The sequence below is a fragment of the Homo sapiens genome, chromosome 18 (genome assembly GCF_000001405.40).
Source record: "Homo sapiens chromosome 18, GRCh38.p14 Primary Assembly".
NCBI classification, from domain to species: Eukaryota; Metazoa; Chordata; class Mammalia; order Primates; family Hominidae; genus Homo; species Homo sapiens.
The window spans coordinates 55974719-56002446 of NC_000018.10; the positions used below are offsets into that span (position 1 = coordinate 55974719).

Below are 27728 nucleotides of genomic sequence, written 5' to 3' on the forward strand. Positions count from 1 at the left end.
CACAGAGTAGAGTATGTGAAAGGAGAGAGCTGCACAGAGAAGTAACTCCAGAGCTCTTCAGAGGGCTCCCCCCTTAAATAGTCAGCTGAATGCTGATCAGACCTCGTGTGTGAGGAGGCTACTCAAGGCCTTGAAAAAGTTCTCCTGAAATGATTAGCGATAATGATACCCCACACTCATACAGAGTTCACAGTACTACTTGTTCTCATCAACCAGACTAGAGAGTCTCATGATTCACATGGTGCTGGGGGAAGAAACAGAGGGATCTTGCCTCAGTAGTTGAGAATAATTAACCTCAGAATTAATACTGCTAAAGTCCTGCCTAACAAATATTAGAAGACCAGAAAAAATGAAGTTGTTTCCAAATAACTTAAGTATGTTGCAGAACAAAACTCACAAATATTTATAGAAATACAAAAATTCAGTGCCTAAGAAGTAAATTTAATATGGCATTCAATCAAAAATCACTAGATAAACACACACACACAAATATAACCACTGATGAGGAGAAAAAAAATAAATTAATTGAAACAGAACCAAAACTGATGCAAACATTAAAATTAGCTAACAAGGACAGTAAAAGTTATTATAACTACATTCCGTAAGTTTACTAAGTAGACAAAAAGTTAACTAGAGACATAGATATTTGAACTTGTTCATGTACAAATGTCTGCATCACTATTAACAATGTCTGAAATGAAAAATACACTGAATCAGACCTTGCAGAAAAAAAAAAAGATTAGTGAACTTGAAGACATAGTGATAGAGAGTATTAAAATGAAAAGCAGAGAGAAGTCAGAATTTTTAAAAATGAACAGAGCATCAGTGAACTGTGGGAAAATTTTAAGTGACCTCATATAGATATAAATGGAAATCCCAAAGGGGGAAGACAAAATTATTAGAAAAAATAATGGCTGAAAGTTTTCCAAATTTGGTAAAAACTATTATCCTAAAGATCCAAGGAGCTCAATGAACCTCAAGCATAAGAAATACAGAAAAACAATACCAAAGCATATCACAATCAGATTGCTCAAAAACAGTGATAATGAGAAAAATCTAAAAGGCAGGCAGAAGGGGAGGAAAACACATCACATGCTGAAGAACAAAGATAAGAATGACAGCAGACTTCTCATCTAAAATAATACAACTGAAAAGATAAAGGGGAAAAATTCTCTCAAGTATTAAAAGAAAACAAATTGTCAACCTTGACTTCAATATCCAGTAAAAATATTTTTCAAATTTAAAGGTACACTAAATACATTTTAAACATATAAAAGCTGAAAGAATTAATCTACATCAGACCTGCACTAAAAGAAAGTCCTTCAGACAGAAAGAAAATGACACCAGATGCAAATATGGATCTAAACAAAGGAATGAGGAGCACTGGAAACAGCATCTACATTGGTAAATATATAAATGTTTTATAAATGGAAATATATCCCTTGCTCATGGATTAGAGGAATCAATATGAAAATGACCACATTCCCCAAGGCAATATAAACATTCGATGCAGTTATCAAAATACCAGTATCATTTTTCACAGAAAAAGAAAAAAAATCCTCAGATTTATATAAAACAAAACAAGAACCTGAATAGCCAAAGCAATTCTAGACAGAAACAATAAATATGGAGGCATCACATTATCTGACTTCGAATTATACTACAAGGCTATAGTTACCAAAACAGCATGGAATTGGTATAAAAGTAGATACACAGACCAGTAGAACAAAATATAGAATGCAGAAATAAAACCAAATACTTAAAACCAGCTGAACTTTGACAAAGCATACAAAAACATAAATTGAGGAAAGGACATCCTATTTGATAAATGGTGTTGGGAAAACTACAGAGCCACATGTAGAAGAATGAAACTGCATCCCTATCTTTCACTATATACAAAAATCAACTCAAGAGGGATCAAAGACTTAAATCTAAGATCTGAAACCATAAAAGTTCTAGAAGAAAACTTAGAAAAAACGCTTCTGGACATTGGCTGAAGTAAAGAATTTATGACTAAGACCATTAAAGCAAATGCAACAAAACCAAAACTTTATAAAATGGGAGCTAATTGAACTAAAAACTTTCTATATAGCAAAATAAATAACCACCAGAGTAAACAGACAAACTATAGAATGGGAGAAAATATTTGCAAGCTGTGTGTCTAACAAAGGACTAATACCTATTGTCTACAAGGAACTCAAACAAATCAGAAAGAAAATAAGAAACACAAATAATCCCATCAAAAAGTGGGCAAATGGCATAAATAGACATTTCTCAAAAGAAGATACCCAAATGGCCAAACATATGAAAATATATGATAAAATGCTCAACACCACTAATCATCAGGGAATGCAAACTAAAACCACAATGAGATCTTACCTTACCCCAGCCAGAGTTGTCGTTACTAAAAAGTCAAAAAACAACAGATGTTGGTGTGGATGTGCTGTAAAGGAAATGCTTATACACGGCTGGTGGGAATGTAAACTAGTACATCTTTCTTTCTTTCTTGAAACAGAATCTCTCTCTCACCCAATCGCCCAGGCTGGAGTGCAGTGGCATGATCTCGGCCCACTGCAACTTCCGCCTCCTGGGTTCAAGTAATTCTTCTGCCTCAGCCTCCTTAGTAGCTGGTACTACAGGCAAGTGCTACCACGCCCAGCTAATTTTTGTATTTTCAGTAGAGACAAGGTTTCACCATATTGGCCAGGCTGGTCTCAAACTCCTGACCTTGTCATCTGCCGGCCTCAGACTCCCAAAGTGCTGGAATTACAGGCGTGAGCCACCGCACTCAGCCCGGAGATTTCTTAAAGGACTAAAAGTAGATCTACCATTCAATCCAGCAATCCCACTACTGGGTTTCTACCCAAAGGAAAAGAAGTCATTATATCAAGAAGACTCCTGCATGCATATGTTTTTCACAGCAAAATTCACAATTGCAAAGATATGGAACCAACTTAAGTGCCCATCAACTGATGAGTGCATTAAAAAATGTAGTCTATATATGCTGTGGAATACTACCCAGCCATTAAAAATAATGAAATAATGTCTTTTGCAGCAACTTGGATGGAGTATGAAGTTGGAGGCCATTATTCTAAGAGAAGTAACTCAGGAATGGAAAACCAAATACCTAATGTTCTCACTTATACATGATGTGCTCACTTATAAGTAGGAGCTAAGCTATGTATACGCAAAGGCATTCCAAGTGGTATAATGGACTTTGGAGATTCAGAAGGGAGGAGGGTGGGAGGGAAAAGAAGGATTAAAAACTACACATTGGGTACAATGTACACTACTTGGGTGATGGGTGCACTAAAATTTCAGGCTTCACTATTATACAATTCATCCATGTAACCAAAAACCACTTGTACCACAAAAGCTATTGAAATACAAAATATATAAATATATAATATATGTGTTTTAGTTAATATTTAAATCACTTTAAATGATAAATGATTCAAGAAAAAATAATTTAGTGTGGGGTTATAACATATCTAAAAGTGAAAGTATGACAGCAGAAACACAAAGTTAGGGAAAGAATATGCTGATAAGAGTCTAGTATTATATGTGAAGTGGTATAATTTGAATATTTGAACTTGTATAATATAACTTGGTAAGTTAAAGATATATAGCAGATATTTAAACCCTAAAACAACCACTAAAATAACAAACAGTTATAGATAATAGGTCAACAAAGAATATAACAATAAATTATTTTTGAACAATACATTGTTTTGAAAAAATTTTTATGAAGAAAGAAGTCCCCCCCCCAAAAAAAACCCCAAAAAACAAGTGGGATAGATTTAAACTCAATCACATAAAGAATCATGTTAAACGAAATTGGTCTAAATACCTCAGTTAAAATGCAGAGGTTGTCCGGGCGTGGTGGTTCACACCTGTAATCCCAGCACTTTGGGAGGCTAGGCAGGCGGATCAGGAGGTCAGGAAATCGAGACTATCCTAGCTAACACGGTGAAACCCTGTCTCTACTAAAAATACAAAAACAAAATCAGCCAGGTATGGTGTCGGGTGCCTGTAGTCCCAGCTACTCGGGAGGCTGAGGCGGGAGAAAGGCGTGAACCCAGGAGGCAGAGCTTGCAGTGAGCCGAGATCACACCACTGCACTCCAGCCTGGGCAACAGAGTGAGACTCCATCTTGAAAAAAAAAATGCAGAAGTTGTAAAATTGCATTGAAAAAAAAATCCCAACTATATGCTGCCTATAAGAAAGGCGCTTTAAATATGAAGACACAAATAAGATAATAGTAAAAGGGAGGAAAATGATATACCATGCTAAGACTTATCAAAAGAAAGCTGGAATCTACTTATCTACTTACCAAAAGACAACATAGATTTCAGAGCAAAGAATTTTATTGGGATAATGATATTATTTTATTGTAATAGAAGGGCCAATTCCTCAAGAAGGTATAGCAACACATATATTCTGTGTGATGGTTAATTTTATGTGCCAACTTGACTGGGTCATAGAATGCCTAGATACCTGGTTAAACATTATTCCTGAGTGTGCCTGCGAGAGTGTTTTTAGAATAGATTAGTGTTTGTATTGGTGAACTTAGTAAAGCAGACGGCCTTCTCCAGTGGAGACGGGCCTCATTCAATCTGTTGAGAGCCGGGGTAGACTAAAAAGATGGAGAAAAGATGAATTTATGCTCACCTGACTGCTTGAGCTGGTACTTCTGGTTTTCAGGCCTTCAGACTAGGACATGAATCTACACCATGAGCTCAGTGGCTCTTAGGCTGCCTTCAAACTATACCACCTTTCCTGACCCTCCAGCTTGCAGACAGAAGTTTGGGCTTGGTTTCTCTGGAAAACCCTGACTATCACCTTATGTGATAGAATAATTTCTGTCAGTCTGAGGTCCTCTGTTTCCTGCTACCATATCTAAGCTGTTGATGCTTATACAGTACCAATGCATACTGTGTCAGATCCTTGGATCTTCAATGTTGACTGTGCATCTAGGAACCTACCACTTTATATGGTCCTTGTTTCTCTGTTTATGCAGGTTGCTTGTAAGAAGAAAGAGTTCCTCTTTCTTCCTATTTGCCTATACCCTTTAAAGCAAGGATTTCTTGGCACTATTTCTGTGCCATACTCAGGGGCATGGAAATTATGCCACTCTTAAGCACAAAGTAGGACAAAAAATGTTGTTGTCTACAGGCCTATTAGCCAAAATCCACTAACCATTTCTTCTTTATGATTTGTCCCCTCTTCAGAAGTCTACCATGGGCACAGAGATCAGGTTCCCAAGCTCTCAGAGATCACACACTTTAGTCTTCACCTCTCCAGGGTCCTTCATGGAAAGCTACCCTAAACAGTGCTCACCCATGTTTTACTCTCATCATTTTCTTCTCTTTTGATCTTCTACATTTTCCTACCTGGGGAATTTTTTTAAGAAAGAAAGAAAAAGAGAGACACACAGAGAGAGAGAGAGAGAGAGAGAGAGAGATTGTATGTGTCCATGTGTTGAGAGGTGGCATAGTTGTTCTCAAATGTTTTCTCTATGCCTCTTGATTCCCTGTTGCTTTTGAAACACAAAGATAAAATGTGCATCCTTTCTTATTTTATTTTATCTTTTTTTTTTGCTTTTTACTCTGTTATATCCTACCTTGAGATAATGGGGAAAAAATCTAGTGTCTTGAATAGAAGATGAGAAAGGAAAACTAGAAAGACCATGAGAATGACATAATAATGTAAAAAAAAAAAGATACATATACATGGACTATTCCTATTTCTTCATTTGATGGCCATCATAAAAATGAATATTTTATAATGGCAGTCTCATCAGATATATTTTAAAGATCCCAACCATTGCAAACATACATCTCAAGATAAAAAATATGATTTAATGGGAAATCGGAACTAAATGACACCAAGAAGTAACTGGGCAGGTGGATGCTGTGTTGGAAACTCTCTCACATACTGCTGCCACCTTCTCCAACCACAACATTCTAAAATATACATCAACACAAGGCCTTCAAAAGTTGGCAGACTATTGTAAGGCAAGTTACTCAGAAATAAATATAGATATACTTTTAAAAGGTTTCATATGCCTTTTTGCATTATTCCAAAAATGTGTAAATTAATTCTACATAAAATAAGAGGTGGAAATATACATAAAAGGTTAAATAACAGCACCAGGAAGAATATGATGAAATGCTAAGTGAATGATACAGACCATTTTTCTCAAATGGGAGCGCAGAAAACCCTGAGCATCCACAACTTCTTTAAGAAATGTAGAATTTTGTTTAACTATTTCGGTACCTGATTTTTAATTTAAGTTTACAAATGCATGTATGATTATAAATGCATCTTCCAAGTAAAGGTCAACTGACAGCACAACTTACTGTATAAATGCAGATTTCACAGAAGTCCAAATGGAGAAACCTAAAGGTAGAATTGAGTCATAAAATATACATGATAATATTGTCATGGAGACTCAAAAGGCTTTGCATGGCAGGATTATATCTTCACCACAACCATAAGCATTCAAGGAAGTCCCATTCTGACTCTAGGTGTCATTGGATTAGTTACCCATTTAATGCAGGTTTCTATAACACTATCATGTGATCCTTATTTCCAAGTGAACAAGTCAGCATTCCAGAGAGATCAAAGGACATTGCATTAAAGTTGAGTTGTTAAGTAATGGACTTGATTATCTTAATTATCAAATAAAGCCTTGATGTTACCAATGCCAGTTTCATTGCTTGTAGTTAATAGGCATTCTCTGTATAAATAGTATTAAAGTTACACCACAAAAGCAGGTTTAAGTTATAAGTAAGGCTATATTTCTTCCATGATTAAGCCCAATATTACAGGTTTAGTTTCTGCAAAACAGTGTAATCTATCCCGTTTAAAATTCACACTGTCAAATTGAATTTTATTGGTTTTGTGGTTTCGGTGATATAATTGTATTAATACTAAACACACAAAGATAAATGTGCTAATACTTGTAGAGTACTTGGTACAGTCCCTGACACAAAAAGAGTGTTCAATAAGGATTAGTTATTACTATTTTGTGGAAAATATATATTAGTACATCTCATTTAGGATGAGACTGAGGTTCTCAATCTTTTCTTTAAAAGTTCTCTAAACATTACTCAAGTATAGTAAACACAAGATGGGGAGTAACTGCCAGGAGATTCATCTGTGACTGGCGAGATAGGGGTGGGTTCCTGGAAGAGAAGGGATTCAAAGAGATGTTATCTCTTTCAATGAAACACCAGAAAAGTGGTGTCATTGTTATGACAAAAACTTAAAATTGAGGCACAGAAAAATAAGGCACCTTTTTCAAGCCTTTTCATCAGGGCAGTATAAGAACCGCTTTCACTTTTAGTTCTCAGTCGCTAAGACTATGAGTCCTTTCGTTTTTCCTTGTTACTTAAGCCCAAGAGTATATAGCACTTATTCTTTTGTCTTTACATAATGTTTTTGGAAATAAATAACAGTTGATTATATTTGGCAAGCAGTACTTCTTACCATATTTTGATATAATAACTTTTTTCAGTTTGCTTTGGAAATTGACAATTATGACGACATTGAATAGAGGTTAGAGGTGACGTGAATCATCAGGGTAACCTAGATATTTACATGAATGCTGGTTTTGATGAAGCATAAAACTCTTCTTTGACATACACATTATCTCAGTTGTGAACATGAGGACCACATTGCTGTGGAAATGCTGACAACACCTCTCAATCTGCTTGCCAAAAAAAAAAAAGCATTAAAAAAATCAATGTGTATCAGATGTGTTTAAAAGGTATATAGATACCTCATTTTAAAAGAGATCTATATATGTGCTAGAAAAGACATTACACATAAAATATATTCTGTGGAGTACATTCATAGTGGTTGTAGCTCTCCATTTAAAAATCATAACATTGCAAAGATTGACTACAAAACTTAGAAAGATTTGCCTTCCAACTACAAAGTAATGAGAAACCAAACACACAAAACAAGCACAAAAGGAGTGATTATTTAATCTTTTCTTTCCTAGCTATTCAGCAGGATATCTGAGAGGAACTTCCATGTGCAAGGTGAATTAATTATGACTAGGAACTCTAAAATATATATATGTATAACACAAATATATGTTTACATATGTATGTATATCTACATATACATTTCTACATATACATATGTGTATATACACACATGGCAAGTATGGTCTTCTTTTAGGAGCTAGAAAAATCTACTGGGGAAATGAGATTAATGCATAGAGCAAAAGTAAAGAATTCAAAAGAAGATATAACTGTAAATTGCAGCTCCATGTCTCTCAGCATTCTGGGTCACCCTTCCCTTTTGTATCTTAACACCACTTAGAATTCCTCCAAGAGGAGGAGGAAAAGAAACTTCTTTCAGGCAATCCACATTCCTGAATTCCTTGTGCCTGGTCTTTATTCCTTCCTGTGATGCTATATTTTCTACACTAACTGCCCCTGCCCCTCCTAACCTCATGAGTCATTCCCAGGGTATCAAATGATAGCTATCTGCAGGTCTCTCTCACTCTCTGCTTCTCCCACTCTTCCGTCCTTTCCCTGTGCTAATGCCGTTCTCTAGCTGAGCAAGAGCTTATTCCCTTGCTATCTGGGTATTCATCCTAGGGAAGGTCACCAAAAACTCGGCCCCAGTCAGATCCTGACCTGCTGCCACTATTTGGAAGTTTGTTTTTCCTTCTTTATTGGTGGGAGTTCTTCCCTCCACCTCTTCTTTTTCATCCTTTCTTTCAATATTCTCTAAAGTTCTGTCTCCTAGTACATGAGGTGGTGATCCGGGGAGGCTGAACAGCCTGTTATTTCATTATGCAGAACAATTGTCTGCATCATAAAACCAGTCTCAGCTGCTTCCATTCCAGACAAGCCCCTGTGTCCCAGCTTTGTTTAATTAAAATAGTCCATTGAAGTATTTTCCCAACAGTGGAATCCACCCTTAAGAGGAATTTTGCTACTTCCCCTGAGCACAGAAACAGCATTTTTCTTAGTGTTATATAAATAACAGTATTGTAATAGACTGTAGGAGTAATACAATAATAGTAGCACATTGTGTTGCTAGGGAAAAAAATTGTCTGAACATAGAGTTGGAGTAAGGTGGAAATGAGTTGAATGGGTAGGTAGAATTCATATGGCAGGAAGCGTTGAAGGCCAGGCAAGAGTGTTTTATTTGGGAGTGGCAATTTTGGGAGGTACTGGTGGGTTTTGAAGTAACTTTTCCTGGGAAAAATATTAGGCAGATATATTTGAGATTTAATCTTACTGTATATAGTCTTGTATCTTTTTTTCTAGTTAATATTGTTTTATAAGCACTTCACTATATCTTATATGAATGTTCTTAAAAACATGATTATTCTGTGGTGTGCTAGAAATAGCGTGCACTAGTTAACAAGAGCCAGTTGTGTTCGTGGCTCTTCAAATCCACATTGAATGACTTTACTTTGATTGGTAGCTTGAAATTGACCATGGTGGGAGTATTTACACCATGAAAGTTCTTCTACCGGTACCATGCTGTTTTGGTTACTGTAGTTCTGAAGTATAGTTTGAAGTTGGGTAGCATGATACCTCCAGCTTTGTTCTTTTTGCTTCAGATTGCCTTGGCTATTTGGATTCATTTTTGGTTCCATATGAATTTTTAAATAGTTTTTTCTAGTTCTTTGAAGAATGCCAGTGGTAGTTTAATGAGAATAGCATTGAATCTATAAATTGCTTTGGACAGTATGGCCATTTTCACAATATTGATTCTTCCTATCTATGAGCATGGAATGTTTTTCCATTTGTTTGTGTCATCTCTATTTCTTTGAGCAGTGGTTTGTAGTTCTCCTTGTAGACTGGGTAAAGAAAATGTGGTACATACACACCATGGAATACTATGCAGCTGTAAAAAAGAATGAGGTTAAGTCCTTCACAGGGACATGGATGGAGGTACAGGCCCATTATCCTTAGCAAACTAACCCAAGAAACCAGTAAAACCCAGAAAACCAAATACCGTATGTTCTCACTTGTAAGTGAGAGCTAAATGATGAGAACATATGGACCTAAAGAGGGAAACAGCACACACTGGGGCCTACCAGAGGGTGGATGGTGGGAGGAAGGAGAGGATCAGGAAAAATAACTAATGGATACTAGGCTTAATACCTGGGTGATAAAATAATCTGTACAACAAACCCCCATGACACACATTTAGCTATGTAAGAAACCCGAAGTCCTGCACATGTACTCCTGAACTTAAAAGTTAAAAAAAGAATTATTAAGAGTTGATTATCAAGAATCAGGATGATATTGCTTTAGACATAAGATTCTTACCATAACAAGCAGGATTCTTCTGCTTGGATAAAATACAGCAACATACTTATTTTGGGAGCTGAGACATTGTTTATGTACTAGACTGTGAGTTCCTCTAGAACACAGATCACATCTTAATGATGTATTCTTTTTGTGCCCTCCTGTCCCTACTACCCAGTGTAGTGTCTGAAAGATGATAAAATGTTTATTAAATGAATCAATGAGTGAGTAAATTAATGACTGTTATGATCCTTGAATAGGTTATACAAACTAAAATGATACTGCTTTGCAGCACCTCTGCAGATGCATCTGGAGGCAGAGTTCTCACTAAAACCTTTCCAAGAGCTGTTTCAATTATCCCTTCAAGCTTTACTTAAATAATAATTGTTGAATAAAGTAAGAGGCTCGGTGCACCTTTTTCCTAAAAAACAAACAAACAAAAAAACCAATTTAACTGGTAAAAAAAATACAGAGCAATCATTTAAAATGTCTGTCTGAAAATTGTCCTAAGGGCAGAAAGATTAATTTTAAAAAATCTACTAAATCTCAGTAAAAGCTGTGACAGTCTATGGCATCTGAGCTATGATCCAGTCCATTACCTCCACCTTAGCTCAATGTTACAGAAGCTTTGCCCTAGGCATAAACAGCCAAGTAGACAGGGGTTCCTTCTCCCTCCATCTCCAAGTCTGGGCTATGGTTTGATTCAGGAAAGGACAGGCTGTTGGCATTTCTCTCCCTCCAGCCTCACATGTAGAAGCTTGATTCCAAGTAGGTGCACCCAAGACAGCTAGCTTTCCTGATTTCAAAACTTACTACAATGCTACAGTAATCAAGACAGCACCACATTTCATAGGAATAGACATATAGATGAATGCAATAGGAATTGTGAGTTCAGAAATAAACCCTTATATTTCTGATGAATTGATTTTTGACAAAAGTGCCAAGAAAATTCAGTGTGGAGAGAACAGTTTTTTTTTTTTCATCAAATGATTCAGCAAGTACTGAATAACCACAAGCAAAGGAATGAAGTTGACCCCTAACTCACATTATTAAAAAATTCATTTAAAATGCATTACCAACCTAAATGTAAGAGTTAAAACTATAAAAATTTTACAAGAAAACATAAGGCATAATTCTCTGTGATTTTAATTTAGACACAACTCCAAAAATACAAGGAAGAAAAGATGAAATAGAGTGAACATCACAAAAGTTAAAAACATTTGTGCTGCAAATGATACCAGCAAGAAAGTAAAAGAATGGTGCACAGAATGGGGGAAAATATTTACAAAACACATGGGATAAAGGACTTGTATCTAGAATATGTAAAGGACTCTTACCACTTATTAATAAAAAGTTCAAAATCCAATTTAAAAATGGGCAAAGGATTTGAATGAAAATGTATCCAAAGAAGACACACAAATGATCTATAAGCATATGAGTATATGCTCAACATCATTACTCATTAGGGAAATGCAAATCAAAACCGCAATGAGATCCCATCTCACACCCACTGATGGCTAAAGTTAAAAAAGGGCTCTAGTTTCTGGATGTTCGTAATGGAAATGAGCACCCTGCAATCTGGGGCTGATTTTGAGAATGTTCTTTTGGGACAGTTTAATATGAAGGTAGAGATGTGAAGTGAACATAGCAGAAAGCAGCCAGATGAGATGGAGATTCTAAACCTTCTTCTGGAATGCCCAGCATGTCTGAGTCAAAAGACTTTTGGATGACTTGAAGGATACTGGACCCTGACAGTGGCCCCAGCACTGAGAGTGGAGAGTCGCCCAGTTGATGCTTGGACCTATGACTAATGGAGAAAGGACAGTACACATTGGGGCATCTGTAACAAATGGTTTGTAGACCACTAACAAATTAGATGTTTGTAGAAGTAGCAAATACAACATGTGATTGAGGATTAAATAGACTCTTCCACAGGTCAGTGAGGAATCAGTGAAAATGAAATCTCCATGGAATGGTAGCTATAGGCAATTCCAAGGAAGAACGATGGACTCTCATCACAGAATTCTCTATTATTAAAACAACTGGGTAATATCTTAAAACATTACCTAATTTATTTTCATCCTGTTAATTTCTACTGCCCAATGGCCTTTCACATTTGAGACTGAGGCACGCATCCCTTAGGTGGGAGGAAGTGTCCATGGCCAACTGAATATCATGAAGATAATCAAGATTTTGCTTTCAAAAGAAACCTTTATAAAGTGAGTATGTAGAGACAAAGATCAATAAAATTCTGCTTTTCAATTTCAAGAGCCAGATACTTAAGAAGAAAAAAGGTGTCCTGGGTTCAAAAATGTTGTCATGTAAAAAGTCAAACTTGTGAGTACTCAGAACATAGATTATGTATCACATTGAATTTTCTCAAATTTTTTTTCTTGCAATTGTTGACATGGCCATATAATTTTCTCTTTTATTCAGTGTTGAGGTGAATTATATTAATTGATTTTTGAATGTTAAAAAAACCCTTTACATTTCTGGGATACATTCAATATAGTCATGATACATTATCCATCTTATATTTTGCATTAAAGAGACTTGTCTGTAATTTTACTGTATTATAATATCCTTGTCAGGTTTTAGTATCCAAGTTATACTAGCCTCAAAGTGAGCTGAAAAAAATGCTATTTGTTTTTCCATACTGTAGAAGAGTTTCTAGAACTATGATATTACATCTTTGTGAATGCTTAGAGGTGTTGACCAGTGAAGCCATGCGGACCTGAAATTTTCTTTGCAAGGAGATTTTAAATTATGGATTTTTTTTTTTTTTGGTTTGACTTTTCTATTTCCTCGTTTTCAATTTTGGTGAGTTGTAATTTTCAGTAAATTTTTATTACTTTATTTTACTTTATTTGAATTTAATTTTAAATTCTTTTCCTAAATTATTGAGTGTGAGGGACGTCATTGGTTTTCAGGTTTCTCATTTTCTAATGTATACATTTTAAGGCTATAAATTTCCCTCTAAACATGGCATTACCTGCATGTCACAAGTTTTTGAGATGTGCCATATTAATGATATTTCAGTTTGATTTTTATTTTTTCTTCTTTGACTTACTCATATTCAAAATGTTATTGCTTAATTTCTAAACATTTTGGAAATTTTCTAGTTATTGTCCTACTTTTTCCTTCTAGCTGAATTCTACTGTGGTCATAGAACACACTCTGTCTGATGAAGGGAATAAAGATCTCTGCTCTGGAGCCAATTAAACTCCTCAGATAGGACACACCTAAACCCAAATGAGAAAGGACAAGTGAAGACATAAAAAGGCACAAAATCCCAAGAGCTATTCCCCCATTCCCTGGGACAGCACCCCCACCCCCACTCAATCCAGTCCTGCTCTTCTAGATATCCTTAGATAAGTGCTTGGGGAGCGAGGATAAAAAGAACAAAAATATCATCAACCCCATTCTGTCCTACACGGATGCATTAACTTCTTACTTTCAAAAAATGAATATTATTAGCAATACATCTATATGTTTCTGCTGTCTCATTCGCTGTTTACCAAATCTATTTGCCCTCTCTGGTCCTGTTTCTTCCACAAGGACAAGGTGAGTGACATAGTATATAGGGCCATCACTCATAAGATAACTTCTCCTTTTTTAAGGGGCTTGTGACAGAGCACAACCACCCTGTGCTGAAATGTATGCAGTCCATAGACCAGGTGCTACACAGCGTATAAAAAGTGAAAGAGTCCTGTGATCCAAGAGTGTTTTTTTGATCCTGGATACACTTCTGCTATGGCAACAACCCTAAAGACATGGCTTAAGGCTAATCCTGGGCTGTGATCTCATACTTTTTTCCATGTTTTATTTATAAACATTTCAGGAAGACAGTTGACGACAGGGTCATGTGCAGGAGGAAGACTGTTGTGCAAGCAGACTCAGAAACAGGAAAGACTAATTAAAGTTCAGTAGCCTTTCCCAGGTGTATGTTTTCTGGACCTCAGGCATAAAAAGCTGGACCAGTTGCCTCCTTTTCCCAAAGAAATCAAGGAAAAATAAATGTGCCAATGACATCTACAAGGCTTACTAGAAGCAGAAAAAAAGACAAACTTTCTCTGATAGGGTCATGTAGAAAACCAACCTAAACAAGAATCACTAGTATAAGGGCACTTTTTAACCCAACTAATATGGAAAATTGTATAGCTTTTTTGATACTGTATATCATAAATTTGAAATATATATTTTTAAATGCCTTGAGTTCAACTCAGTTTTTTAGTTACTTCCATTTAAATAATTTTGGAACTTTTACATAATTTTATGTAACAGCCTCATAAAAATTCCCAATTTTGAGATATCTGATTATATCTTAACCAGCAGCCTACAGTTACACTGTTATATAATGATCCTTTCAATTCTACAGATAATGCGTTATCTGTAGATAATACATTATATTCTTTGTTAGTTTAAAAATAAGCTAGCAAAATGTTTAAAAATGCAAAGAAAAAAATCACACAATCTTTTTTATATCCTTTAAAAAATAAAACCATATTTTATATAGTTGCCATCATACTGTAATTGTAATTGTGTCTTTTTTCACTTAGCATTATGTAATAAACATTTCCTTAATGCCATAATGTTTTATAATTATCATTCCAATAATTCTATAATATTTCATCTAATAGAAATCATCTAAGTGAATAATTTTTATATTACTAGACATTATTTTATAGTTTTAAAATAAACAGTGCACTAATGAATATTTTAAATAAATACCTTTAGATTATTTTTTAACAAGAAATTCCCACAAGTAGAGTTGTTGGGTCAAAAGGCATGGATATAACTCTTGACACACATGGCGAAAAATTTTGGTGATAGATAGCCAACATCAATTTTTGTCTTCTTACTAGGAGTACCCTTTTTCTATCCCAGGTGTCTATCATTTTCTATTCAGCCACATACTTCAAGGAAACGTGGACTCATCTTCAAGCACAATGGTTAGAAAAAGCCCACCATGGTAATTCCATTCCCACTATCAGTGATTGGCTTAGAAAAGAGAATATGACTTAATTTTATTTAATAATTGGTGAATGAAAATTTGCCGGGGTGATTTCAGGGGATGGTTTCTTAGATGTTAAAAACAGATTTAAGGATAAGACCACCCTTTTTAAAATTTCTGTTATTGGTGGATAAGGATGTGATGCCTAGAACTATAGCAGTCACCGTGTGATGTTGAAGAGAACTAGCTCACAAGCACATGACACAGAAGAAAGACAGAAAGAAACTCAGTCCTTGTAACCTGTTGAACCACTAAATTAACGCCCTTACATTTCTCTCCTTCTGGAATCCTTATCATGTGAAATTACAGGGTTTTTGTTGTTGTTGTTGTGTAAGTGAATTGAATTGGACTTTCTATTATGTGTAATGAAAACTTCCAAAATTATTAATCATATTGTGCAATTAGTTCCCAAAGGGTGGCAGCAATTCTCCTATCAGCAATGTGTTGATGTATGTTTCATAGCAATACACACACACACACACACACACACACACACATATATATATATAAACATCCACATATATACATAAACATATATAAACTGATGGGATATGTATATTTAAGATTTGCTAAGTTAAGTTGGTTAAATTTAAAATGTTATCTTTCATTATTTCTTCTGCATTTCTGTGTTCAATAACAAAGTTGTATTCCAACTGTTAGGTTTAAAGACACAATGCTTTTTACTACTACTAGGGAATAGAGTTGTTTTTGATGTGCTGCTGCTGCTGCTTCTTTTTTTTTTTTTTTTTTTTTTTTTTGAGACAGTGTCTTGCTCTGTTACCCAGTATGGAGTGTGCAGTGGTGCAGTATCAGCTTACAGCAACCTCTGCCTCCTGGGTTCAAAAGATTCTCGTGCCTCAGCCTCCCAAGTAGCTGGGACTACAGGTGTGCACCACCATGCCCAGCTAATTTTTATATTTTTAGTAGAGACGGGTTTTTGCCATGTTGGCCAGGCTGGTCTTAAACTCCTAGCCTCAAGCGATCCACCCATTTCAGCCTCCCAAAGTCCTGGAATTACAGGCCTGAGCCACCGTGCCCAGCCTGTTGTGCTTCTTTATGTTACGAATGGATGACCAGAGCCATTTGCAAAAATTTGAATAATTATATCAGAGGTACACAAAAATTTGAAATAAAATCCCTTTTTTTTTGTTTTTTGAGATGGAGTCTCACTTTGTCGCCCAGGCTGGAGTGCAGTGGCACGATTTTGGCTCACTTTAATCTCTGCCTCCCACATTCAAGTGATTCTACTGCCTCAGCCTCCCAAGTAGCCAGGACTACAGGCACGTGCCACCAAACCCGGCTAATTTTTTGTATTATTAGTAGAGACGGGGTTTCACTGTGTTAGCTAGTATGGTCTCGATCTCATGGCCTTGTGATCCGCCGGCCTTGGCCTCCCAAAGTGCTGGGATTATAGGCATGAGCCACCGTGCCTGGCCTAAAATCCCATTTTATCAAAATATTCTTGATACCATAACCACTGTCCAGCCTTCAAACATTTTTTTTTATTTCTAATAGCTCTAATTTCCATATCTGTTTGTAGGTTCACATTAAAAAGAGAAGGAGCTGGTAGTTCTCATCTCTAGCTGAGCAGTAATTGTATAGGAATATAGATTAGATTTCTTTTGTTTGGTAGTAACTATATTTTTGAGATTATCTTGAATCATAATTCAAGGAATTTTCCAAACAGAACATTTCTAATGTTTTGTATTACAACTGCATCTGTTCTATAAAGAATAGAATTTAAGATGTTAATAACTGGAGGTAGCTATTAAATAAATATTGTCCAACATGATAAATAAATGTGACAGATCTAAAAATGCTACTATTCTTCTAGGAAAAAATTTAAAGAAATAAATGGATAAAATATTTTTTGTTATTTTATAGTCTTTACTACTTATTTTAATGGATAATTAAATACTTATAAATACATTAAATACTTTAATGACTACTTAAAGGATACCTATATCATTTTGAGTAAAAGATAAATATTACAATCCACATGTTTCAACCGCAAAGAATAATAAAGAGGTAGGATGGGATGTGACACGATCATGCCAGGATATAGTGACTCCTGGCCTTTGGGGACACCCTGCGTTGAAGAGAAAATGATCTTGTGTGATCATGCTAACAGGTATGAACTTCTCTGCAACACTCAGGTTACAATATTTCATACTTCCTATCTTTCCACAAATCCACTTAACCTGGCTTGAGGCTGCATGGTCCAGATGGACAGGATTATGTGCCAGCCAAGAACACAGGGGTCTTAAATGGTACCCAGTGAAGCCCACTGGCCTTCCACTTTTGAACAGGAAAGATCCCTGGTTCCAGGCAGTGGATGCCATCCTTCTTGCTGCTAGATTTGGATCGTAATCCTGAAAAACACAATCCCAAACACCATAATCCTGAATTTGAAATCTCCAAAGATCAAAATCCATAAACTGTAATATCACTCACTTTGAAAATCTGGAAAATCACAATCGTAAAATAGTTACATCTTGTTAGACCAACTCTCATGGGCCATCTCCATGCCATTGTCCATAATCTAACCTTGTAATCCACTGCTTCATATGTTGAATTTTCTTTACAGTTTTTTTCTTTTTAGGATTTTTTTTTTTACTACTTTAAATTGTCAGCATTATTTTTCTACATTTTTCTATGCTTTGTATTTCATCTTCATATTACTTACAATACTGGAGGTATAAATTGTGTAAAGAATTTTAGAGAGCTCAGATTCATTTTATGAATTTTTAACAAATTTGGCTCCACCAAAGTGCATTATGATAATGTTGACTTTGTGTTCAAGTATTGTGCATGTATATAAAAATGCTGAGACTTCCTTAATAAATGAAGAGATGTCCTTTTTGTACATCTGCATTTGTGAAAGGCTCGTGATCTGGACTCTTTGGGTGACTGCATATGTAGTGGTGACCCATCCAGTTTCTGATCAATTTCATTAAAAGACTTAAGTGGTTTGTCACCATATTGCAGATGATGGCAGTATTAAGTTGGGTGCACACAATTACCAACCATAGTGATAGGTGATAACACATTTCCCTTTTTGACCAATGTCTTTATGAATACGGTTCATCTGTTCATCTGCCCACAACTGTTATACCCATGCCATTGTCGTTAGTGCACCTGACTGCTCCTGCTTGCAAAATATGTATGTTGCCATTGCCTCTTTTATTCTGTAAAGTGGCCTATGAATGTTCTGTCCTGTTTTTATATGTTTCTCAGATAAGTCCTCCTTTAAAATGTAAATAAATACGTTTTAAAGAAACTTTTTTTTTTGAGACAGAATCTTGCTCTATCCCCCAGGCTGGAGTGCAGTGGCATGGTCTAGGTTCACTGCAACCTCTGCCTCCCAGTTCAAGTGATTCTCATACCTCAACCTCCCGAATAGCTGGGATTACAGGTGCCCACCACCATGCCTGGCTAATTTTTGTATTTTTAGTAGAGATGGGGTTTTGCCATGTTGAGCAGTCTGGTCTTGAACTCCTGACTTCGGGCGATCTGCCTGCTTCGGCTTCCCAAAGTGCCGGGATTACAGGCATGAGCCAGCGTGCCTGGCCATTTTAAATAATTTTTAATGATTTTTTCCAGAATTATATATTTTCAAGATTTTCTTTTAGGGTTTCAGCATTCGTGATTATGGCATTTGGAATTTTGTCTTTCAGGATTATGATTGGCTTGCCTTGCTGCCACATAGAGTGGTTCTCCAGTCCTGCTTCTCCTGAGTGGGCCTGGCATTGCTAGTCTAGGCTGAGATAATTTGCCACTTTTCCCATTTTTACAGGTAGGCAGGCTTGGTACTCCAAGTAGGGCAATTCTCCTGGGATGTCCACTTCTTTCTTGCCCCTTTGAGTCAAGTTACTCCCTGCCTCATATTTCCCAGACCACTGCGCTTGGTGTTGAGATGCGCTTTCTGCTGTGAAGGCCTGTGAATCCAATTACAGCTTTCATCCAGAGTTCCAGCTGCTTTCCTTTATATTCCAGAAATACAATGGATCAGTCCACTGTTTTAGACTTTCCAAACTTCACTAGGTCACGTTGCCAGTGCAATGCTCTTACTACCATTGGGGAGTAGTAGGGAGTAGAATTGGTTTTGATGTGCCTTATGTTATGAATGGATGATCTGAGCTATTTGCAAAGATTTGCATAATCATTACATACATTATATACAATCAACCCACATATTCACTTATCCTAAAGCAAATTGAGCTGAAAACAGAACTTCAGTTTTGAACACTTTCTCTCCCTGCCCCCATTCCAGATCCTCTTATTTCGTGTCTGGGAATGCACCACTACACATTCATGTGCCCAAACCTGAAACTTGAGCATCTTTCCTATCTACTCCTTTCCCTTTATACTTCCCATCTAATCACTTACCAATCCCCATCCTTCTATTTCATTTCTCATATATATATATATATATATATATACATATTTTGCTACATCCTCAACACCTCATCTTATTCATTCATTCTTTCGTCTCTGAATTCCTAATACAGGCTCCTAAACAGGTCTCGCTGCTTGATAATCTCAGCCCCTTCCAACTCATATTCCACAATTCTTTCAGTGATCTTGTAAGAATATAGGTCTTATCGTGTCACTTCCTTCTCAAAGTCCAGTTTTGAGTCCTTCGTGTGTTCGGCATGTGATCTGGACTCTGACTTGGCATTTAAGGCACCATGTGATGTAGCTCCCATCTATGCTTCCAGTTCACCTCCCTCCCATTCTGTTCCCCTGCCATCTTTAATTACTAGCAGCCACCAAATGCACCAGGTGGTATCATGCCTCCTTGCTTTTGAGCAGTTTGCTTTTACTAGGATGCCCCCCTCCTGTACTATTTTTTCTAGTTTCTTAAAAACTCTTTGACTATTAGTTCTTCCCAAATGCATTTCCCATCTCACCTTCATCTATGCCTCCATTGCACTTATCTCCATAACTGCCTTTTGCTCCTATTAGATTATGAGTAGGGATTATGTTTTGTTTTGTTGTCTAACACATATGAATAACCCTAATTATAATGATTTCTTAGCACTTGCATGCTTTTTCACTCAGCCATGAAAATAATGGCTGCATAGTTGCCTCATATATTTAATTTAACATATTAAGTTATTCATTTTAACTCATACTTACCTTATCAGGTAAGCTACTGTTATTTTTATTTTCATTTTGTAAAATGAAGGTGCAGATTGCTTAGGAAGTTTCCCCAAGTTACACAGTTGCTAAGTGACAGAGCCAGGATTTGAACTGAGACATCTGACTCCAGAGGTCACTTTCTTGTTCATGCTGCTTGAGGGCTGCCCTGGGTGCTTGATAAATATCTCATTTGTGGACATTAAGATGGGAGTAAGAACTTTGGGAAGATACTCCTTACCCTTCTAGACCATTTGTACCTCTTAAAAGAGGCAAAATGTTTAAGCTGGTACTGGGACCTTTTCCCACTTATGGCTTTCTCCTCATGAGTCCATAGTGTAGTATGTACCTTCCTTTACTCTCTGACCCTTCGCATGATCAGTGTTTTCTTTCTTAGAACATAATCCAATACCCTTACAATCATGATAATGATGATGCGAGTTAACATTTCCAGGATGTTGACTGTATCATATTAAAAAATTTACCACTGACAGTAGAATAAAGCCCCTATAGACCTTGGTAAAGAAATTTTAAACAAAATTTGTTGTATGTATTCATGCCATAAAGGCAACAATCCCCACTGCTTGCATGCAAGCTGCCCTTTTTGGGATTTTAAGCTTCTTCCTGCTGTCATCGGGATGTAAAGGCTGACTTGATCCTTTTTTGACTAGCCCCAGCCTGCACCCCTCAGAAACCTGACTTAATTTTCTCTCCTACCACCACTCAGTCCCACACCTGGGGAAGCCACAATGCAATTAATAGTTGCATTACTTAGGGAAATTATTCAATCTTGCTGAGCCACAGTTTCTGTCTCAGTTTTTTTTCTGTTGTTGTTTGTTTTGTTTTTTTGAGATAGGGTCTCATTCTGTCACCCAGGCTGGAATGCAATTGCATGATTATAGCTCACTGCAGACTCGATTTCCCAGACTCAAGAGATCCTCTTGCCTCAGCTCCTGAGTAGCTAAGACTACAGGTGCATGCTTCCATGCCTGGATAAACTTATAAAATTTTTTGTAGTGATATGGTCTCACTATATTACCCAGTTTGGTCTGGAAATCCTGGCCTCAAGTGATCTTCCTGCCTCAGCCTCCCAAAGTTCTGGGATTACAGGTGTGAGCCACCCGCTCTGGCACTTACCTCTTTCAAATGAGAGTAACAATTATTCCTGCTTCATAGAGTCACCTCCTCTGGTCTGTCTTCCCTGACCCTGTCATCTCAGGAAAGAATTAACCTCCTCTTCATTTTAGTGCTTATCTACTTTGCTCGGACCAATGTGTGCGTCACACTCTACTGTAATTGTTTGTTTATTTGTCTGCCCCACCTACTGAATAGTTAATATCTCAAGGACAGGGACAATATCATAGTTTTGAGTCCCTTATCCCTAGATCACCTGTTGGACTGAATTTCCACAACTACCACCCACCTTTCTCGAGAGTCTCTCAATTGTAGCTGCTTTACATCCATAAAGCCACCCACATCATCCACTTGGATTTCAAATCACTTGAGTAAAACTGAGGGGGTAACATACTAGGGATCCTACTCACCTTAGACAGGAGAACACAGAAATGCTTCTGGTCATGGTATTCAAGCTTTGTCCCATCAAACCATACTAACCAGGCCATCCTAAGTCTAAGGGATGGACAAGAACTTCTGCTGATGATTCAGCCAAAATATCTATGACATCTTACAAGAGGTTTCCATTTCTACACCAGAATTTAGACAGGAGGTGAACTGTGAGTTGATTTCCGGAAGAGTGGCTCTGAATGGGGGGCGGGGTTGTTGGAGACATGCTGTCGAGAGGTGTCTGAGTCTGCAGAATTTGTGATGATAGCCGGTTCCTTGGATAGTACTCTTCCTCATCCTCTTCCAAATCTCATGGTCTATTACAGCTTAGGTGTCCAGAGATTCGTTTGTGCTGAATATTATTTGGAACATTGAATCAAGCATACATCTTTTTAATAGTTAGGGTTATCCCTCTCTCCGGGGATAATTTCACCTGGGACATTGAGGAAATGGAGCTTGGAGTATGTGCACTTCCTGTCATCAAAGAGAGGAGGAGAGGGCGAGCACATTCCGAGTGTGAGCAAGCGGAACCCCTCCTACAGATGTGCCTTTCACTCTCATTTCCTGCTCCAGACCAACCCTTCGGAGATTATTTTCAGGGAGATCTCCCTCTTCTTGTGAGGCCAGAGACTTTTCTAGTTATAAGGCTGGTGCATGTGACGTGTCTGGGCAAGCATACAGCAAAACCACAGAGAAACCAGGGATTAAAGAAATGAAACTGGGCAAACTAAAAAACGCCTTTTGCAGAACTTCTCTTAAGCTTGAGATAAACACCTCCACCTTCCCTCCTCCCTCTTCAAGTTCACAGTTTATTTTTCACTGTGTTCAGCTTGTGGCAGTAACCTCTACTAGAGAGAAGGGAAAATGAGTTGTCCTAATGAGGTGGCTTCCCTAAGCAGCACAATCCTCTGAGTTCAGGACTGAAAGAAAGTGAGAAGAATCCCTCCTGGGATGAGATCTTAAAAGGCAAGGAAACAACGGCCTCAGTCATTTGAGGATGAGTGCATTTTCCCAGTGGGTGCATTGAGAACCATCTTCCTTCAGGCATACTCTGTGGACTTGTGATTTCGGCACTGGCCCAGTCTAAGTCACAAAGAGCAGACAACTCTGTCCCCTTTTCCAGAAATATCAGACTTATGGGAAGATTTCTTCTGCAGATTCCTGTCTTCTTTCTCTTACCTGTAATGAATCATATCTGAATGATGCTTCCACCGGCCAAGTTCCAAGTGCCATCTTTTCCTTCAAGGAAAAGGCCCATAAGTCCTCTCAAGCGATTCTCAGCCTTGGCATATGCAGTGGCTTCATTCAGATTCCAGCAAAAAGGAATTGGCAGGGCATGAATAAGGGCAGAAGGTAATTGAGGAGCCGGGGCTGGTTTTAAGGCAGTACAGAGCCCAGCTCCACGAGCTGAGCTGGAAGGAATTTGCTGTCTGTGCCAGAGGTCATAAAGAGCTGCTGAGCTAGTTGAGCTTTCTAGTGCTCAGAAGCAAATCGATCAGATGAGCTGCAACTGTGGCTCTGCCACAGACCATGAGCTAATGCAGGCTGTACCCAGTGAGCCAGTGCCGCGGGCACTGGAGCCGGCAGTGGGAGAGGGTGAGCCGACATAGCTAATGCCTAACGCCAGGAGGGAGAGACAAAGGGGCCTCTTCTTTAACACTGTGAATAGCCCCAGAGTGAATACAGCCTTCGACAGCTGTGGTTTCATTCTCATCACCGCTGGGCGAGTTGGGGGTGCTAATTGTGAAGCTGGAGAGCTGTTAAAATCAGACCAGATTTGTTAAAGGAGAGGAGTAAGATGATACTTCAGACCAGTATCTGCAGTGGCACAGGCACAAAAGCCCTATCTCAGGAGAAGGAATGAAAGGAAGGCAAAAAGGCCGTGAGAAAATGAAAGAAGCTGGTTGATTGACCCCTCCTCTGTGTCGCCTCAGCAACTTGTCCATATCATTGTTACAGCACTTACCACACAGTTGTAAGACGGTAAGGAAGATTTCTCATTTATTGAGCTTTTACTATATGCCAAGCACTGTTAAAGGAGTTTAACATACATCATTTCATTTAATCCAAATTCAGAGAGGTTAAGTGACTTTCCCAAAGATGTGTGTACACACACACACACGCACGCATATATATGTGTATGTGCACATTTATGTGTGTGTGTGTGTGTTTGCATGAGCATAGCTATTGAGTTAGTCAGGTTCCAAATCTAGTTTTCCATGACTTCAGAACTAAACTCTCCCCCATTATTACCATTTAGCCTCTTATTTCCAAAGCAGGTACTTTATAATACTTTGTGGATTAATAAGCTATAGTACTGATGGTCAAGAGAATAAGATTAATCAAAGTCATCCAGTTTGGAAATTAAAAAGAGGAACTTTCCTGGGAGTCAAAGAGAAGGACACACATTGGACATATGGTCGCAGATTGAAGTTTTCCGTTTTCTCTCTCTGTAATAGCCCTGGCAGACAGCTAATAAGGAAAACATATTGCAGAAAGAATCTTCTCTTCTCTCAGCTCATGTGATGCAGATTTCTGGTAGCAGCAGAGTTTGCTGAAAACAAATAATAATCTGACAATAGGTAAATTCTGCCCCTTTCATCCCAGTGGAATAAATATGCCAAGGGATCCCCAAATTTATCCCTTTGAGGATGCACTGTATTTAAAGAAAGAATTGAGGAAGGCAGCAAGGAGAGAGTGATTGTCATCCTCAGCAACTGTGAGTTCATGGGATGCCACTTCCCTCCCACCATGCTCAGCTTGTTCAATTGATGAAATGATTTCAGATTGTTTTACAAAGGCAGATGATCATTCATGCCAATTATATAAGGATAGAGGGATCACTGTTACATTTTTATTATAAAACTTCCAACAAGAAAATATTCAAGCTAGCCTATGGAAAAGAATTCATCTTTGAACACAAACAATGGGCAAAACTATTCCTGACAATAGAAAACTCCAGGCCTCTACATTCCTTTTGCCTCTCTGTTTTGTTCAATTTAAATCAAGATAAAAAGATGGAAAGCACAACTCCTTAGGGTGGTATGAAATCCACAGAGGCTTTTAACAAAGCTGTCTAACAACAAGTCAGTTCAGATATTCCAGCCTTTTTGGTATTCCTCACCAAAGAAAGAGCACAAGCAGCTGTTTTTGCTCAATTCTGTGGGATCTGCATGCCAACGCTTCTGCTGAGAAATGAACAGCGTTCATAGGAACACTTCTCCTTGCCTCTTCTCTCTTCTGTGGGCCTTTTCTTCTTTGAACCAGTGAGCTGCAAGCACTTGCATAGTGTTTAACAAGTCATTTAAAAATAATTCGGAAATATCAAAGTTTGTGTATCATTTACTCGCAAAAAGTGAATTTTAACATTTCAAAAGTTACCTTTTAAAAAATTGCTCTCCCTCATAAAATTAAACTGAGTTATCATATGACCCAGAATTCTACTTGTAGGTACATATCGGAGAGAATTGAAAACATATGTTCACATAACAACTTGTATACAAATACTCACAGCATTATTCATAATAGCCACAAAGTAGAAGCAAACCAAATGTCCAACAATGGGTGAATGGATAAACAAATTGTGATATAACCAGGCAATGGACTATTATTCTGTAATTTAAAAAACGAAGCACTGATTCAAGCTACAACATGGATGAACGTCGAAAACATTATGCCAAGTAAAAGAAGTGAGACACAAAAGGTGATATTTTGTATGATTCCATTTAAATGAAATATCTGGAATAGATAAATCTATAGAGATAAAAAGTAGATTACTGGTTGCCTAGGGCTGGATGGGATGGGGCTATGGGGAGTGACTGCTAATAGGTACAGGACTTCTTTTTAGGGTAATACAAATATCCTGGCATTTGGTAGTGATAATAGTTGCACAACCTTGTGAGTATATTAAAAACTGCTGAACTGTATGCTTCATTAAAATTTTTTTTATTTTTTTGAGACTGAGTCTCATTCTGTCACTCAGGCTGGGGTGCAGTGGTGCAATCTTGGCTCACTGCAACCTCTGCCTCCTGGGTTCAAATAATTCTCATGCCTCAGCCTCCCGAGTAGCTGGGACTACAGGCGTGTGCCACTACATCTGGCTAGTTTTTGTATTTTTAGTAGAGCTGAGGTTTCGCCATGTTACCCAGGCTGATCTTGAACTCCTGACCTTAAGTGATCTTCCTGCCTCAGCCTCCCAAAGTGCTGAGTTTACAGGCATGAGCCAACACACCTGGCCTGAACTGTACACTGTAAAAGGGTAAATTTTATGGTATGTGAGTAATATCTTAATTTTTTTAAGTGAAGGGGAGGGGAAAGAAAAAATATTCTAGAATAATAGTAATATAATAAAATGTATTTAATAATAAAATGTTAAATAAAATATTATAGAAATTTCCATGTACCTTACAATTTATGAACCGCAGAGAAGTGTAGCCCATGACCAAATATCTTGTATAATCGACCCTCGTCATTCAATGAGGCAGCATAGCATTGAGATGTTGAGGTTAAGAATATAATCCCTGAAGCCAGGCTGCCCGGGTTCAAACTCTGAACTTACACCTGCTAGCTGTGTGAGCAAGTTATTTAACTTCCCTGGAGGTCTGCTTCCTTATCTGCAAAATGGAGATTCTAATAGCTGCATCATAGAGGTGCGTTTGATGATTAAGTGAGCTAATATGTGAATAGTGGAATAGTGCAGTTTTTTTCTATCATCGTCATCATCATCATATCATTATCATCTTGAGCAGCACAGTGTAAACAATGTGGTGACCTATTTTCTATATTGCATCCAACCTAAATTATACAATTAGCATTTATGTTTAGTCACATATCACTTTATGATTTATATTTAATTTTATGTATGAACCACATCTCTCTAGCATGGTTGTAAGTTATTTGAAAGCAGGAGCCCACATCCATTCTTTCCACTTGTTCTCCATTCCCCAGCATTCGGCCCTGCAGTGGCCCCATACTCAGCTCCTCAGATGCACCAGCTCACTTTTCCCCAGGGTCTGGGTTAGTGGTTAGTTGGTCCCAAGACTACTATTATGGTATGATGTGTACTTCCACCACTGACCACCAAAAGACTGCCAAGCTGACTGTGCAGCAGGTTACAGGAATTTGTACTGCTCTAAGAACCATGGCTAGCGAGTACACTTTAAGTTCCGACCACACGGTGCTAAAGCTGGAGTTTGTATATTGTTCTGGGTCCAAAGAACTATTTGCTGGTGGTGCCTAGGGACTGTGATTTATGAAGCTGGCTAAATTAGTTATTATTTTGGTGCTGAGAGTCCTTCATTGTCACCAAATTCCAGGATTGGAAACAGCAATGTGACATGGAAAATCACAACCACTCTATTAAGGCAAAAATCTTTATATGAGCAGCTCTGATGCAAGAACAAGAAACACACATGTCTGCACTCAGGGCATTCCCTAACTGGCTGATCTGCAGCGGTTAACCTGCAAGACGGCTGCCTCTACTTCCCTCTCTTGGCCAACATAGGCTTTAAAACCCGAGGGTCTGGAATGGTGATTGTTTCCTAAACAACAAACCCAGGGGTTTAGATTGCATTCCAAGAGAGGGAATCTCTGTTTTCTTCCTTACCGTGTTATTTTATTATTACTACTGTTGAAGTCATTTCAGCTACTGTTTCCTGTTTGTTGTAATAAATCAGGTTTGGGCGCTTGGAAAAATAACATGACCAGGAATCTAGTGACAG

At 37.6% G+C, this 27728-nt stretch overlaps 1 long non-coding RNA gene across 2 annotated transcripts in view; it reads left to right on the plus strand.

Annotated features, from left to right (window-relative positions):
• Nucleotides 1–21492: 21492 nt before the first annotated feature.
• Nucleotides 21493–27728, plus strand: part of LINC03092 (long intergenic non-protein coding RNA 3092) — a 29891-nt gene continuing 23655 nt past the window's right edge. Inside the window, exon 1 of one of the 2 annotated variants that reach the window (XR_001753454.2) lies at nucleotides 21493–23991. This is a non-coding gene — a long non-coding RNA (long intergenic non-protein coding RNA 3092). The remainder of the gene's footprint in view (nucleotides 23992–27728) is intronic. The other variant, XR_001753453.3, reaches the window with a different exon arrangement.